At 44.8% G+C, this 17,866-nt stretch overlaps 1 protein-coding gene across 1 annotated transcript in view, besides 3 other annotated features; it reads right to left on the reverse strand.

Annotated features, from left to right (window-relative positions):
• The window catches only part of ADARB2 (adenosine deaminase RNA specific B2 (inactive)), a 560,213-nt gene that overhangs the window by 429,630 nt on the left and 112,717 nt on the right, over positions 1 to 17,866 (reverse strand). The gene's annotated exons all lie outside the window — the stretch shown is intronic.
• Positions 1,916 to 2,445: an enhancer, noted in NCBI's record as "H3K4me1 hESC enhancer chr10:1651053-1651582 (GRCh37/hg19 assembly coordinates)". NCBI's record gives its function as "activates a minimal SCP1, AML or CMV promoter by ChIP-STARR-seq in primed H9 embryonic stem cells {active_cell/tissue: H9 hESC(primed)}" and the evidence as "EXISTENCE:reporter gene assay evidence [ECO:0000049][PMID:30033119]".
• Positions 2,446 to 2,973: an enhancer, noted in NCBI's record as "H3K4me1 hESC enhancer chr10:1651583-1652110 (GRCh37/hg19 assembly coordinates)". NCBI's record gives its function as "activates a minimal SCP1, AML or CMV promoter by ChIP-STARR-seq in primed H9 embryonic stem cells {active_cell/tissue: H9 hESC(primed)}" and the evidence as "EXISTENCE:reporter gene assay evidence [ECO:0000049][PMID:30033119]".
• Positions 3,175 to 3,336: a silencer, noted in NCBI's record as "fragment chr10:1652312-1652473 (GRCh37/hg19 assembly coordinates)". NCBI's record gives its function as "represses an EF-1alpha promoter that drives an FKBP-Casp9 reporter gene in an ReSE screen in HepG2 liver carcinoma cells {active_cell/tissue: HepG2}" and the evidence as "EXISTENCE:reporter gene assay evidence [ECO:0000049][PMID:32094911]".

The following is a 17,866-nucleotide window of genomic DNA, read 5'->3' on the forward strand; positions in this document are numbered from 1 at the left end:
GACCAGTAATTCAGGCAAAGAATGAAGAATTCCACCATCTACTTAAACTGCCAAAAGGAGTGAGGATTTTTAACAACAACAAAAACAAAGCAAAAAATATAATGTCTAATCTGGACAGGTAACAATATACACGTTTTGAAATGTCTATAATTCAACAACAAATATGAAATGTAATCCATTTCAGTTAGGCCTTTTAACTTTGATAAATAAAATGAAACTTTGAATTTTCTTCTCGCAAGTGGCTGATCCCTAACTCTGGTGGGCAGAAGTTGGGCTTCCCCTGGCCGAGGTCTCCGAGGGCTGAGCTGCCCCTCTTCCTCCATTCATGAACGATTCACCACGTCCATCAGAGGCTAGAGAGGACCCGGTTCTCTGTCACTTGTTAGTAATGCTAGGCCATTTAGGCTGGGACAGAGGTCTGAAGGACCCTGAAACTCTGGAGTCACAGAAATATAGTCCACGCTCTGTGTCCCAAGACCTAACCTCGGCTCTGAAGTTTCTCATCACCTAATGCTGTGATCTGCAGCTGAGACACACGTTTGAGCCACAGGCTGCTGTCCTGCTTGAGAAATGATGATGACCACATCCCAGACACCAGGCACCAGCTACCGAAGCCCTATTCACCTGCAGACATGGAGGGACGCCCTGACCCAGGAGCTCTGCATCAGTGCCATTCACTCCTCCAGTAAAGTACGAGAGCTCGTTGATGCTGACACGATGGGAACCCTAGGGACCCTGCCCGCAGCGACATGCATAGAATCATGACTCCAGGCAGGGGACGTCACACGGCTGACTTCTGACTCCAGGAGGCATCCGCCCAGTGCCTCTGGACCTGCCTGGGGCTCCAGCCATCACCCACACTGGACATGACGCGGCTGACCTCTGTGGGCTTAGGGCATGGTCCTCCAGGCCTCGCATGAACTTTAAGTGGAAAAGTGGCTTCTAATAGGTAAGTAGTGGTTGTTTTTAACATGGCTCCCAGCTTGATAATTTCAGAGACTGCTGTCTACCCATCACACCCCACACAACAGTGTGCAAGGGCAATGCAATATAGCCCTGTCCCATGGGGGGCCAAGACCACAGCATCCACTGGAAACTGACGTAGGTTTCAGGGGGATTCTGAAAGAAGGGTAAAACACAACTTCTGGCATCATCTATTTATCATCTTGTTCATGAAACAAGATCCATGCAAATGGAAAGTGATTTGACATAGTATAAAAGTCTGTGCCAACGTCTGGAGCGGGGTTTGGAAAGTCCATAAGATATTAAAGGAGGAAAAGGTATTTTGAGATGACCTTTTGCATTTGCCTCACAGTTTATTTCCTGGATTTATGCTCACCGGGTCCCTCAGTCCCAGAGGTCATGGAGACGCAGCGTGCCTGTGCTGCTGCTGAGATGTTTGTCCAAGAGAATTTAAATCGTCACCAGCGGCAGGAAATAGTGAGTGTGCAGTGCATGAAAGAACTCTACCACTCTATCTTCGGGGACCATTGACAGACGGGAGGAAGGAAGGGGATGAGAGGAGGGAAGGAAGGAAAAAAGGAAGAAAAGGGGAAAAGAAGGGAGAAAGAGAAGGAAGGAGAATGGAGGAAGGAAAGTGGGAAGGAAGAGAAAGAAAGACAGAAGGAGGGAAGGAGAGAGGAAGGAAAAAAGGAATGAGGAAGGAAGAAAGGAAGAAAAAAGAGAAATGAAGGGAGGGAGGGAAGGAGGGAGGACGAGAAGGAAGAAAAAATGGAAGGAGGAGGAAAAAGTAAGAAAGAAAAAGGAAGGAAGGAAAGAAAAAAGTAAGAAAGAAAGAGAAGAAAGAAGGAAGGAAGGAAAGAAAGAGAAAGAGAAAGAAAGAAAGAAAGAAAGAAAAGCAAGGGAGGGAGGAGGAAGGAAGGAGAGAAGGAAGTCTGGGAGGGAGGGGAGATGGGGGTAGGGACAGCATTTCCCTCCGCATTGCCGGCCCTCTGTCTTGAGCCCCTGCAGGGTGCCGGATGGCCATGCCCTATTGTGCGTCCCTCTTGCAGCAACACCACATTAAACCGTGGCATCCTCTTGAGGCTGCCCCTGCGGATTGCACGGCTAATGCAGAAGGCTAGAAAGAAGGACCCGAAACGCCCACCAAACTATAAATTAAGGCGAAGATCTCAGGAGCAATGTGCCTGGTGCCCGGCGTCGCTGGCCTTTGGTCCCCTTTCAGGGAGCCTGACCCTGCTCCCAGAGACGCTTTTCGGATTCGCTCAGCTCACAGGCGGGATGGGAATGTGCCGCAGGGCTGCTGCCTCACACGTCCGGGTTTAATAGACTTTTTTCCACTGATAAAAGACCACTAATGAGTTCATTTTCAAGCTATTAAACGGGCTATAATAGCTAGTTCTCCTGATGATTGCACAGAGACCCGCTGGTCACAGCGGGTTTGTCTCCCTGATTAACTCTTTGCTGCCCTGGTGCCAGGAGGCTGCGTGCCTGGGAAGGCGGCACCCCCACCTGCCAGCCCTGTCTGCCCCTGTCTCCTGCTTTCAGGTTCTCAGGGCCAAGAAGCCTCCTGGCCCGAGGACCCACAAATCTGCTCTCCTGCATGCATCCAACAGCTGCCATCTCTTCCCTTATGAGAAACCTTCGGTCCTAAGCCAGGGCATCAGCTGACTGGTTGCACAGAGGGTGTTTCAATATTCACATTTCACATGAGGGACTGCGTGCTCTCTTAACTGTGTGTCTGTAATCCTGAAAGAACACCCTAGGAAGACGCTTCCCTTGGGGACACTCTTTTATCAACACAGGGAGCACATGGGCGGGGCTTTAACCCACACACTGGGCTCTACTGGGCCCGGGTGAGCTGTGTGGCTGCAAAGAGTGTGTCGCCCTGTGTCTGTGGTCATGACCACGCGTAGCGTTAGCAAATCACCTCTCCAGGTGTCTGGTTTAAACACCCTTCTCCAGCATCGGAGGGCAGGTGATGAATAGCAGGGCGCTGACAGTCCCCGTCTGCCCTCTTCATTAGGATTGCAGCAGGCCGACTTCAGATGCTTCTGCTTAGCATAATTTTGTTTTCAGCTATTTAAGCAAAGGTGCCCAGAGACCTTCAAGCTTGGGCAGCCACCAGCTGAATTGGATTGCTGCATTTTTTTTTTTATTATTACTGCCTGTTTTCCTTTTTAAGATTGTTTTATTATGAGAGGCCCAATAGGTCAGAGATGTTAAATTGCACAGTGATAAATGCTCCTAGGCCCCCTCCAGCCTGTTCTCAGGATCCTTCCAGAATCACCGTGGGCTCCCTGCCTCCCTGCAGCCCCAGGGCCCCTACACGGGCAGTTCTGCTGCTCGCCTCCAGCCTCTGCACAAGGTGCTGGCTGGGAACCCAGGTGCAGTCTCAACGATACGATATGTCCACAGGCCCCTTTCTCCTAGCCCAGACCCCAAGTTAAGGGCCAGAAACAGGCTTTGCTCCCCTCTGTCCCCACACTCAGTGATGAACATTGCATCTATGTCTTTGCAAAGACAGAAAAAGGGATAATTTTCAGTAACTAGCACTACTTTTCTGGGTAAAACAAGTGGACAGAAAGAAAAGCACTAGGCACTGGGGCCTGTAAACCTGAGTCATTGATGTGGGGTCGGGACAGGTGCCTGCCGGGGTCCTCATCCAGCACCAGCTGCTGAGCCGGGAATAAGGGGCTTCCTCGTCAGAGCCCTCGTCTAGGGACTTGCTGGGCCACAGATGCCTCTCCATCCGGGGTCTTTTAGTTTGTGTCCCGGCATTTCACAAGGTCATAAGGCCAAGCAAGAATGCTTTAAGCAGGACTGTTCATGGAGATGGGCAGGCGCACACACACACACACACACACATGCACAGACACACATGTGCACAGGCACATGCACACATACAGACACATACAGACACAGACATGCACACACAAAGACTCGCAGACACACCCATACATACACATACAAACACACATAGACATGTAAATGCACACACACAGACTCACACACACACATGAGGTGGGGGCTTTAACTCATGAATTTTGGGGACCTATTCAGCCCATAAAATGTCCACCAAATTGTACATTAGTGGTAGGAAATACATATGGTCCATACGACGACATCAACGTTACAAGCCTTTACTTTCCAGTCACTGGTGCCGCGTGTCTGCAAGTAGTCCTAAACCTCCCCAAACATACAAAGGGCAAGGGAGGGGGAGGAAACCTTCCCCGTGGACCCGGCTTTCCCCAGAAAGGCTGAGGAGTGTCACAGGCTGAGGGCTGGGGGCTCTCTCAGGCCCGTTTTGGAGGCGCGGAGTGAATGCATCTTCCAGCGGCCGATCTTTCTTCTTCTCCTGGACCTTCAGTGTGCCCAAGGCCCATAAATCAGCGTGTGCTGCTGAAATCTGTAATACTCAGTTCCTCTCTCAACTTACTCTCAGAACAAATAATTTAAGACACTAAGACAGTGGCAGTATATCTGATCCAAGGGGGAAATTCACTCTCATTTCGTTGGAAAGCAGCTGCCTGGATGAAATTCTCTCTCCAATAATTGATTTTCTCCCTCTTGCTGCTTCACTCGCTGGAGCTCCCCATTCCCCAAATGCTGGGGAGGTGGGGGGTCTCGTGGGATGAGAACTCGGCTCTCCCCCTCCACTCACATCCTTAATGCATCTTGGCCTCTTCCTCCCTCCTTGGGAACAGGGCACGGTGCCCCCATTGATGTTCCTAATACGGGAACATGACACATACATTAGGCTGAAGGAAAGGAGGAAAAAACATTTTTGCCTTGTTGTAATTTCAGCCCAGAAGTAGCGGATTCATTTCACACGACCTTAGCTCAAGGTGACTTGATATATCGTCCCAGCGATGAGATTTTTTTTGTGTCTCTCTTATCCACCCATCTCCTTCTGAAGGAAACTCTTGCAGCAGTGAAAAAAGATGGACAGACAGAGCCCTGGGCAACCCTGGACCATGCACCCCAGATGCGTGGTGCCTGGGGGTGCAGCTGGGGCCTCTTCCCGCCCCCACCTGCCCTTGTCTGTTTCTTTCTGTTTCACCCCGTGTGAGCAAGGAGACCGGTCTTCAGAATCACAAGGAATTAGGCAGAACTCATCTCCCAGCGCTGGGGGGCACGATGAGGTGGGTTCGGGCCGACCAGGGAGATTGGAGGGGATCTTTCCAGCTGGCAGGTCCTGTGACTCGGTTCCTCCCCAGGGCTGAGCCGAGGGGGCCGCCTCTCCCACAGCTCATCAGCCATTAAGAGAAATTCAGAAGAGGCTGGGGTCCTCGTCTTTTTCTGAGTTGTGAGGAGGGGCCGCGTCCTTGTGCTTCTGCACCAAGCACGAATCTGCCCTGCAGGAGGGAATGGGCGTGTTCCTCAAATAGAACACGGGAAGCCAGGAGGAAAGAGCAGAGCGGCCATGGCCGCCCTCCCCAGCCAGGACCCGAGGCCTGAGCTCCAGAGGGAGGGGCTGGACATAAGGAGGCGGTCACAACGCCGGTGGGTCAAGCCTATTAGAAAGCAGCAGGTGGTCATGAAATGTTGTTGAAACAGAGGCTAAGACAGGGCTAGCAATTGTTCTGTAGATAGTACACATTCCTAATATTACTCATCTTCCCAACTCTGAGGCAGCCTCTATTATTGTCCTTGTTTATAGGTGAGAAAATTAGGGTTGAAAGTCATTAAATAACGTGTCCAAATCACCTGCCAGTGATAGAGCCAATATCGCAGCCCTGTGTGTTGCCTGAGGCTCTTCTCTTGAACCAGAGGTCAGCAAACTATGGCCCTTGAGCTGGATCCAGCCAGCAGCCTGCATATCTTGTTATTTATTTGTTTATTTGGCATCCATGAGGTAACAATGGTTTTTATTTATAAGGGCTACGTTGTATAAGCAGGTACATAATATCCTCGTTTTGCCTCTTGCTCTGCAAAACCTAAGCTACTCACTATCTGATCTTGAGGATAAGTGTGCAGAGCCCTATCTTAAACTATTGGGTTGTAGTGATTAGTAGCTGAAATAAATGTTATTTTAAATTATAGTGTCTGAAGTTTTGATGAAAGCTGTTGATAATGGGTTGTGAACAAGTTAACACTTCCGTTTACTTCTAGAGTTACAGCCCACATGAATTGAATGACTTCTAGTGGGCGTAACAGAGCTTCAGAATTGTAAAGGCTCTGATGGACAGCTCCCCGGCATCTGTCTGACAGAGATAAAAGTAAACTTTACTGTTACCCTAACGTCTCCAGAGTAAGATCTGTGGAAGGAGAAATGTACAAAGAAAGGCGTTTACTTACAGGAAGCAACATGGTTCTCAGAATGCCTTTGGGGCAAAACAAGCATTAGCCATGCCTGAAATGTGTGTCTTGTGTGGTCAGTTGAATGTCTTCAAACCCATTCCATGAAAAGATTTTTTTTAAGCAAAAATATAAATATCATGATTCTTCAATGGCATGTCTTTATAATTTTTCCTACTACTTCTTGTCGTTACCATTTCAAGGACAACATCCATGAGACATTCTTCAGTCCTCAGGATTACCTGTGATTTCAAAGCGAATTTGAAAATCCACCCCAGCAGCAGGGTGGGGTAACTGTGCAGAGTTTCCAGCAACTCATGCAGCCACCCAAAACAAAAGGAGTATACAGCAGATGCTCATTTTCGTGAATGCAGAGCTGAGTAAACTATTAGCACGTCAGTGTATCCAGGTTTACATGCTGTAATCGTGTTCACCCATGAGCTGGGATTTTCCTGGAAGTTATCTTTTGGTAGAGTCTTCAAAGGTGGAGTTGAATAGACATGTTTCTTATTAGCTGGTTTCTGCTACTTTATGATTAGAACACGATGCCTTTATGTACAAAGCTAATAATGGAGATAAGGCTGGATGGTGAGCCGAAAGCCCGCAGCTCTGCACCTGAGAGCAGCAAGCCAGTGGTTAAATGTGCGCGGGAAGCACGGGGAAATTCAAGGAGTTTATTTCTCCAGGCTTTCCAATTTGATTACTATAGAGTACAAAGCTATTAAAAATATGACCTTTGTATTTTTTATACCTTGGCAAAAAGCCAGATAATAACTTTGTTTGACTTGGTTAGTGTGATAGAGTGCTTATTCAGATGGAAATAAAATGACTTTTCTTTACTGGAAATTATACCTTGAAGTCTAAATGTCCATCACTGATACAACACACAGACAGCCTGAAAACCACCGAGGCTGTTAAAGAGAAGAATGCAGCATTTCCATTTTCTCAAAGGAAAAATTTATATTTTTGTACAGATGTCATCAACTTAACATGGTAAAAGGTAAATCTATTGTTTCAATACAAAAGTTAAAAAAATTGATTACATTAACAGAACATCAATGTTTATTACAGCTTTAAAAAGCAAAATAGATACTGTTCTCTCCTTAAAACATTGTTTTCTCATTGGAACTTTTAAACTAGGCAAAGCAAAAACATTTGGCTACATCAGCCTGGGTTTTAATTTGAATTTTAAAGAATACAGAAAAAGCAATGATTTTATTTATCTAAATTAAGGATCAATTTCTGAAAGTTCACCAAACATGGGAGATGTTGCTCTCAGGGTTTATAACGAGTGAAATAAAAAGCAGATTTTGTTGATGAGTTCCCATCCCATACAGAAAAATAGGTTCCCTCAATGAGTATTAGCAGAGAGAGGGTGTGTCTGTTTCAGGACTTAGTAAGAATTTTAGAAAAAAATGCCCTTTTTGGCTGGGCATGGTGGCTTACGCCTGTCATCCCAGCACTTTGGGAGGCCGAGGCGGGCGGATCACGAGTTCAGGAGATTGAGACCATCCTGGCTAACACGGTGAAACCCCGTCTCTACTAAAGATACAAAAAATTAGCCGGGTGTGGTGGCGGGCACCTGTAGTCCCAGCTACTCGGGAGGCTGAGGCAGGAGAATGGCGTGAACCTGGGAGGCGGAGCTTGCAGTGAGCTGAGATCGCGCCAGTGCACTCCAGTATGGGTGACAGAGCGAGACTCTGACTCAAAAAAAAATAATAAAATGCCCTTTTTGTTTTGGGTTTAGGAACATAAACTGGTCTCAGGGGTTTATGGCTCTTTCTTCTCATTGTTGGGGAGGAGCTCATGGGCCCTGGGTACACCTCGGTCTACTGAGAAGTGTATGTGTTGGATTGGTAAAAAACAGCAAACAAAGTTACTTCTGTCTGAGGCCTGAAGTTTTAAATTTTTATTTTTTTGCTATTAGAAAATAATGACAAAAATTACAATAGTGAGAACAGGGTATGAAGGAAAGTTCTAGAATGGTCAGCAGGTGCACTGCTTAGTGGTCTGTCTGCCTCCAGGTTCACTCTCCACTGCCTGCCCCACCTTGGAGCCAATGCCATGGCCTTGCCTTCCCGCCCTGCCATGCTGTGCTCACAGCAGCCTTCCAGATTGAAGTGTGCCTGCCCCTCCCCAGAGAAGCTGGGCATCCCCTCCAGCCCATGCTGGGGAGGCAGCACAGCCCTGGATGTGGCCCAGGACTCACTGCCATCGCCAGTTACCCACCACCCAGAGGCCCAGGATGCGCGGTATGGTGGATGTGTCAGGGTGCACAGCTGTCCGGGTGGGGCATTGTCCACCCGGGAGAGTGTGTCTTACACCAAGTCCGATGCATGCCATTTCCCTCAGTCAGAAGGCACAGAACGCACAGACTCGAATGGGAATTGGGCTCTCCCACTGACAACCTCACTGGAAGGATGTGTTTCTTCCACCCCCAGGACTTGGGTATGCTGGATTTGGAGATGTAGTGAGCAAAGGAGGTTTTCCTCTACTGGAGAAGATGGCCATGCTTCTGTAAGAAGGAGGCTGAGGCTGTTCCCAGGACACTTTCACCTCTCCAGTGTTGACACCACTTGGCAGGGCAGGGACTGTTGTCCTGAATACCACAGTCCCTCCCTTCGGAAAGTGGGTGCTCCTACCCAGTGGGGCAGCAACACTGTGTTGTAAACACGCCGAATTCACCAGCCTATGATGTTCATTGCATTTGTCAATGGGAAACTGTGACCCCTAAATAAGGAGAAAGCCACTGAAAATTGGATTCTACTAGAAGGCAGATTCAGATCACCCCACCTGTCAAACCAGCAGAGGAGATGGCAAAGTGGATCATCCATTTTACAATGCTGGTGGCAGGGGGAGGCTGGAATTCTATATTTAGGCTTTGTGCCCTCCTTCAGAAGTGAGGAATATGGCAGCTGTGTTTTATGTTGACTAATTATACTTTTTCTCCCATTTTTCTTGCCACCACATAGGAAGGGCATTGATGGTGGCTTGCATTTCTATAGAGGGTCCCAGTGGGAGTGTAACTGGATTGAAATCATCATTCAAAACTACTGCTGCTAGAACTTTGTATTTCTCTTCTGTTGGGAACTTGAATGTTTCATCGAGAAAAAAAAGAAAAACGAGGATCAGAACCAGCAAGTAGTGCTAGATGTCTGTGTGCCCCTCCAGACACACTCTACCCTGAGCTGCTGAGCTCTGCATCCTGGGAACTGGCCTCAGAGGGTTGCATTCTGTCGCTAGATGTTTGTGTGCCCGTCCAGACACACTCCACACCACCCTGCTGAGCTCTGCATCCTGGGAACTGGCCTCAGAGGGTTGCATTCTGTCGCTAGATGTTTGTGTGCCCGTCCAGACACACTCCGCACCACCCTGCTGTGCTCTGCATCCTGGGAACTGGCCTCAGAGGGTTGCATTCTGTCGCTAGATGTTTGTGTGCCCGTCCAGACACACTCCGCACCACCCTGCTGAGCTCTGCATCCTGGGAACTGGCCTCAGAGGGCTGCATTCTGTTGCTAGATGTTTGTGTGCCCGTCCAGACACACTCCACACTGCCCTGCTGAGCTCTGCATCCTGGGAACTGGCCTCAGAGGGCTGCATTCTGTTGCTAGATGTTTGTGTGCCTCTCCAGACACACTCCACACCGCCCTGCTGTGCTCTGCATCCTGGGAACTGGCCTCAGACGGTTGCATTCTGTTGCTAGATGTTTGTGTGCCCGTCCAGACACACTCCGCACCACCCTGCTGTGCTCTGCATCCTGGGAACTGACCTCAGAGGGTTACATTCTGTCGCTAGATGTTTGTGTGCCCGTCCAGACACACTCCACACCGCCCTGCTGTGCTCTGCCTCCTGGGAACTGACCTCAGAGGGTTACATTCTGTCGCTAGATGTTTGTGTGCCCGTCCTGCCCGTCCAGACACACTCTGCACTGCCCTGCTGAGCTCTGCATCCTGGGAACTGGCCTCAGAGGGCTGCATTCTGTTGCTAGATGTTTGTGTGCCCGTCCAGACACACTCCACACCGCCCTGCTGTGCTCTGCATCCTGGGAACTGGCCTCAGAGGGCTGCATTCTGTTGCTAGATGTTTGTGTGCCCGTCCAGACACACTCCACACCGCCCTGCTGAGCTCTGCATCCTGGGAACCGGCCTCAGAGGGCTGCATTCTGTCGCTAGATGTTTGTGTGCCCGTCCAGACACACTCCGCACCACCCTGCTGAGCTCTGCCTCATGGGAACTGACCTCAGAGGGTTGCATTCTGTCGCTAGATGTTTGTGTGCCCGTCCAGACACACTCCACACCGCCCTGCTGTGCTCTGCCTCCTGGGAACTGACCTCAGAGGGTTACATTCTGTCGCTAGATGTTTGTGTGCCTCTCCAGACACACTCTGCACTGCCCTGCTGAGCTCTGCATCCTGGGAACTGGCGTCAGAGGGCTGCATTCTGTTGCTAGATGTTTGTGTGCCCGTCCAGACACACTCCACACCGCCCTGCTGTGCTCTGCATCCTGGGAACTGGCCTCAGAGGGTTGCATTCTGTCGCTAGATGTTTGTTTGCCTGTGCAGACACACTCCACACCACCCTGCTGAGCTCTGCATCCTGGGAACTGGCCTCAGAGGGTTTTGCATTCTGTTGGTTTCAGTGATAGGGAGGGAGGCTCAAGGGTTAGTTTTCCTTCCAGTCTGTTTGACAGTTGCTGTGTTTCTCTTAAGCTCAAAACTTTTGTTGGACGGCTCTTCCCCTCCAACTACAGATTTCCCTGAGTTCAGTGAATTGCTGTCCACTTTTTTCCCCTAAGGCTGCATCTCCCCGGGAGCTTCATCATGCCCTTTAGTTTCTGTGACATTCTCTGCACCTTTAAGACGACTTCCTTTATTAAATTTCTTACTTAACCCTCTGAGTGTGCCATCTGCTGCCTGCCCAAACAGGTGTACCTAAGTTCCAGCCTTTACTCTAACAGAATGCCTTTAGGTGAGTCACAGAATTGCTCTGTAAATTAGAAGAGCAGGCTTGTTTATGAACTTTTCTTATTTAAGATCCTATAAGTCCAGCTTTACTTTAAAAAATCCACCACCATGACTATAACCTCTTTACTGCCATTCAACAACCCCAAATTATAACTGTTTAGTGGATATTGTAAAAGTATGTATAGCTTATCACCTTTTTAATAAGTCCAATAATGCTTCAAACTTAAGATGAATGAGAAGATTCTACCAACCCTGAAAATTCACATACCTATAGAAAATTCTGATTATTCAACCATAAGACACTTCATAATAATTTGCAAAAGTAATTTTTACTTTCAACAAGTCATTTTTTTTGTTCAAGTACAGTGTCACTAGGTTTAAAAATCAGATTTTTTTTTGAGAGAGGGTCTTGCACTTCACATATGCTGGAGTGCAGTGGCCCAATATTGGCTGACTGCAACCTCCATCCCTGGGGCTCAGGTGATGCTCCCCTCTCAGGCTCCCAAAAGTCAGATCTTAAGTGGTGCCACCTAGCAAGTTTGAGGTAGTTAAAAATCTGTGACGTGGTAATCGACAGTTTCTCAATGAATTAAATACAAATAAAAGAGTATTGTTTTGTTGGAGAGATCATTGTGGCAGGCTCAACAACAAAAACATTAAAGCCACTAAAAACAAATCACAGGCGAGATTTCCAGCAATGGCCATTTGAAGAGAAAATTAAACCCTCTCCTCCAAAAGCAACTATACAGCTGAAACCCCTGCCCCCTGCAGCTTGTAGAAGTTCTGTCAGATTAAGGCAGGCTGCGAAGGAACTGTAGCTTCTTGGCTGCAATTAATGGATCACCTGGCTTGGAGGAATGAATGGTGTAAAATAATCAACAGAGGAGTTAAAGTGATACACTCAGTTATTCAGGAAGAGATTGAGAAGGCGAGAGACATGTGGAAAATAAATTGCAAAATGGTAAATGTAAATCCAGCCATATCATTAGTTGCATTAAATATGAATGGTCTAAACACCCAAATAAAAAGAGCAGAGATCATCAGATTAGATAAATAAGTAAGATTTAGCTACATGCTGTCTACAAGATACATTTTAGAATCAAAGACACAAATACATTGAAAGTAAAAAAAAAAAAAAAAAAAGAAAAAATACGCACCATACAATGACTCTAAAAAAACTACATTTGCTGTATTATTTATTGATAGAACAATTAGGTGGAAAATTAAATGACAGTATTAATCAACTCAATCTATTTAACAAAAATAAGCACTTCATGTAATAACTGCAGAACATGTATTTTTGTTTTTTCAGAGTCTCGCTCTGTCACCAGGCTGGAGTGCAGTGGTGCGATCTTGGCTCACTGCAACCTCCACCTCCCAGGTTCAAGCAATTCTCCTGTCTCAGCCTCCCAAGTAGCTGGGATTACAGGGGTATGCCACCATGCCCAGCTAATTTTTATATTTTTAGTAGAGATGGGGTTTCACCATGTTGGCCAGGAGGGTCTCAATATCTTGACCTAGAGATCTGCCCATATTGGCCTCCCAAAGTGCTGGGATTACAGGCATGAGCCACCATTCCCTGCCCACATATTGTTTTTAAGGACAAGAAACATTTTACGAATAGATAATATGCTAGATTAGAAAAAAAATCAATACATTTAATAGAACTGGCATCATATAATGATGTTTTTGACCACAATGAAAGTAAATCAGAATTGAACAACAGAAAGAAATCTGGAAAATCTGCAAATATTTAGAAATTAAACAATATACTTCTAAATAACCCATGGATCAATAAAGGAAAAACAAGAAAAATAAGAAAAAAATTTAACTGCACTAAAACAAAATTATATTAAAATTTATGGGGTGCAACTAAGACAGTAGAGGGAAATTTATAGCTTTAAACACCTATATCAGAAAGAAAGGAAGATCTCAAATCAATATTCTAAGCTTCCATGTGAATATAGTAGAAAAATAAGAGCAAACTAAAATCAAAGTAAGACATAATAAAGATTAGAGCAAAAATCCATGAAATAGAAAACCAAAAAAATCAACAAATTGACATATTTAGATTGACCGACCAGTAATAAAAGACAGAAGACACAAATTATGAAAATTAGAAATGAAAGAAGAAACATTATCACCAATCTACAAAAATTAAAGGGGTCATAAGCACATGTTATGGGCAACTTTATGGCCCAAATGAGGCAACTTAGATGAGATGGGGGAAATTACTGGAAATGCGCAGATTTCCAAAAATGACTAAAGAGGAAATAAAAAAACTACAAAAATAACAATTAAGAAAATTAAACTAACAATTAGAGATCCCTTTACACAAGAAAAGGCCCAGGCCCAAATGGTGTCACTGGTGAATTTGTTAAATAAAGAAAAAATACTAACAATCTTTTACAAACTGTTCTAGAAAATGCAGAAGGGGAGACGACTCTCCATTCATTCAGTTGTTCTAATATTATATTGATAGCAAGCACAAAAATATCACAAAAAGTATAGCCCAAGATTTCTTATGAATATGGATGTGAAACTATTAACACAACATCACCTAACTGAATCAAGCACCATATGAAAAGGGTGTATGTAAAGACCAAGTTAGATTTACGCCTACAGTGAAAAGTTGGCCTAAAATGTAAAAATCACCTAGTGTAATATACTATATTAATCAAATAAAGATCAGACACCTGATTATCACAATACATGCAGAAAAAAGTATTGGAAAAATCCAGTACTCATTCATGACAAACTCCCTTAACAACTCTGAGTACAATGGAACTTCTGCAAGCTATAAAAGGGCATATATGAATCACTCATGCCCAGCTCCATCCTTAGTCATGAGTGGCTGAGTGCTTTCCTGTAGATCAGGGACAAGGGAAGGATGTCTACTTTCACACTTGAATTCAACAGTATACTGCTGGTCCTTGCAAGTATGAGAACAAAACAAACAAAATAAACAAACATGCCAATCATTCAAGGCATCCAGCATAGGAAATATTAAAATGTATTCATTTGTAGATGACATGAACATCTATGTAGAAAATCTGATAGAATCAACAAAAAATATATTAGAACTAGTAGGTATTTTAGCAAGATTGCAGGACATATGATTAGTATAAACATATCAATCGTCTTTTTATATATTACTAACAATCTGAAAAGAAAAACAAGAACATTGTTACATTTACAAGAGCCTCAAAAATAAATAACTAGGAATAGTTTCTTCTTTTTCTTTTTCTTTCTTTCTTTTTTTTTTTTTGAGACAGGGTCTCACTCTGCCACTTGGGCTGGAGAGCAGTGGCATGATCACAGCTCACTGCAGCCTCGGCCTCCCAGGCTCGAGTGGTTCTCCTGCCTCAGCCTCTGGAATTGCTGGGACAGCAGGCACATGCCACCACATCCAGCTAGTTTTTGTATTACTTGTAGAGATGAGTTTTCACTGTGTTAGGAACACACTTAACAGCAACAACAACAACAGTGAAATGCAAGACTTGTGTACTGAAAACTACAAAACATTACTGAAAGAAATCAAAGGAGACCTAAGTAAATAGGGAGAAATTCCATGTTTCTGGATTTAAAGACTCAGTAATGTCAAGATGTCAAGATAACAATTCATCCCAAATTATCCATGGATTCAATGCAATCTCTGCCAAATCTCAAATCCCAGGATTTTTTTTGTAGAGAATGTCAAGCTCCTCTTAAAATATGTATGAAAATAAAATGCAAAGGATCTAATAGTAAAAAACAATTTTGCAAAAAAATAAAGAAAGAAAAAGGTTGGAAAACTTATACTAGCTGATTTCAAAATTTACTACCAAGGTAAGGTAATCTAGATAAATTGAACAGAGTTGAGGGTTCATGAATTAATGCTTACATCCATGGGCAACTAATTCCTCCAAAGGTACTAAGAAATTTCAATGGGGAAAGGATACTCTTTTCAAGAAATGGTTCTGGTTCTACTGTATACTCACATTCAAAGAAATGAATATACACCATTACCTTACACTATACACAAAACGCACAATGAACCACAGACCTAAAGACCCTAGCTAAAATTTTAAAACTCCTAGAAGAAAACAGGAAAAAATCTTTATTAGCTTGAATTTGGCAAATAATTCTTAGACACAACATAAAAGGCACAATTCATTAAGGAAATATCAAAAAGTTGGACTTCATCAACTTTTAAAACTTTGAGCTTCAAAACACATCTTTAATGAAAAAATAAATCTTATACAGGTTGAAAATATTTGCAAGTTATATATCTGATAAAGAACTTTTATCTAGAATATATATATAAAGAATCCTACAACTCAGTAATGACAAGAATCCAGTAAAAAGGAGTAAAATTTTGAACAGTCATGCCACTAAAGAGGACATGTAGAAAACAAAAACTTAAAAAGATGTATACCGTCATTAGTAATTAGGGAAATGTAAATGAAACCACAATGAGATACAGCTATATACCCTCTAGAATAGCTCTAATTAAAAAGACAGAAAATACCAAGTGTTGGATGAACTATGAAAAGAGGCGATTCCTCATGCGTGGCTGCTCAGCATTTAGAATGCAACAGCTACTTTGGAAAATTGTTTGTTTGTTTCTTAAATAGCTAAACATATACCCGCCATATAACAGAGTACTTCAGCACCTAGGCACCCACCTCGGAGGAATGAAAACACGTCCACGCAAAGGCATGTCAGGGAATGCTCACGTGGCTTCATTCATAACAAGCAAGAGCTGATGACACCACAAACGTCCATCAACAGAGAGGGGGAGAAACAACAGGAACTCTATCCAAACCTTAGAATAGCATTCCGTAGGCCAAAGGTGCAAACTACGGACACGCGCCCCAACACAGATGAGCCTCAAAAACATTGTGCTGAGCAGGAGTTGGAAGGAAGACGTGACGTATGGCATGATTCTATTTATACAAAATCTCCAAAAGAGGAAAATATTTAGAGATGGGGCATCCATTAGTGGTTGCCCAGGGCTGGGGGTGGGATTGGATTGTTGCAAAAACATCATTAAATAAATGAAAAAATAAGCTTCCTTCTGCACACACATCCATGAAGCCCACATTCTCAAGAGGACGTGAGGCGCATCCCAGGTGGTCATGCAGCTCAACACTGTAGATGTGTGAAAATGATTGAATTGTGCACGGGCAAAGTCTATTGAATGGAAGCATGTCAGTAATGCTGCAACAAATACATGAACTGCAAACTACAGTAGTTTCTACTGTATAGCTAGAATGGCACTTACTTGATTACACTTGAGTAAGAATATAAACTGTTGTTTTGGGAAAATTTTTGTTAGAAAACTAGATTTCACACAGCCCATAGAATTTTTGTCACTACCCATAGAATTCCATTGTCAGCGCCTACACCCGCCTCTGGCCGCCTTCCCAGGCATGGTCCACCGTGAGCCGTAACTGCTTTGAACTCCTTGTCTGTCCCGTTGTACCGTCATCACCTTCTCTGTCATCAGTGCGATTGCACACGCATGGATTCCCTGCCTTATTGAAGACATTGGAGACCTCCCTCCCGCCTACAGGACCAGGGGCCTTCACCCTCAGGAATGCCCAGTACGAGGGCTGAGTTTGCAGTCAAATAGTTAATGTTCATAGAGCTTATTAGAGACCCACAGCATTTAATCCTCAAACAGCCCCTTCAGTAGGCACTATTATTATCATCATTTGTTCATGGGGCCACTGAGGCACAGCAAGATGAAATGATTTGGCCAAGGTAGCTCAGCTGGTGAAAGAGATTCAGGGTAAGAATCAAGGCTGGTGCAGTGACTCACACGTATGATCTAGCGATTTGGGAGGCTGAGGCGGATCGATCACTTAAGCCCAAGAGTTTGAGACCAGCCTGGGCAACATGGCAAAACCCCATCTCTACTAAAAACATGAAAAATTAGCCTGGCATGGTGGCACGCACCTGTGGTCCCAGCTATTTGGGAGGCTGAGGTGGGGGTATCACCTGAGCCCAGGAGGCTGAGACCCCAGTGGGCTTTGAAGGCATCACTCCACTCCTGCCTGGGTGACAGAGTGAAATCCTGTCTCGGAAAAAACAAAACAAAACAAAACAAAAACAAACAAAAACCAAAGAAAAAAAGAAAGAGAATAAGAATCCAGACTGCCTCCATTTTAAACCACTAAAGACGATTTGGGGTTCTCCTCGTATTATCTGATGCAACTCCAGGCTCCAGCGAGCATGCCGTCCTGCCTGGTCTCCTACCCGTGGCTCCGAGCACAGCCCCACAGCTGGGAGCCGAGCACGCCCTCCCACCTTGCCTCCCCACCGGCTGGGGACCATGGTGTGCACTTCCAGATGCTACTGTCATTTCCTGCGACAACAGAACACACACATCTGTGAAGTCTATAATCACAAACTGAGCGAAACTCACGAGGTTATGACAATTTCCCACCTCTGAAAATAACATTGATGGATATGTTTTTAAGAGACTGACACATGTAACTCTTTATTAAAAAAATTATTAAATAACTCCTTGAAATAAAAAGGCAGTCATGTAATTAATAGTTATGTACTACTTGACAGCATAATTACTCATTACCAATATGCAGGAACAAAATGACTTCTAATTTTATCTTCAGAGTCTTTAAAGGTAAAAAAGTAC

The sequence above is a fragment of the Homo sapiens genome, chromosome 10 (assembly GCF_000001405.40).
Source record: "Homo sapiens chromosome 10, GRCh38.p14 Primary Assembly".
In the NCBI taxonomy this organism is placed as follows: domain Eukaryota; kingdom Metazoa; phylum Chordata; class Mammalia; order Primates; family Hominidae; genus Homo; species Homo sapiens.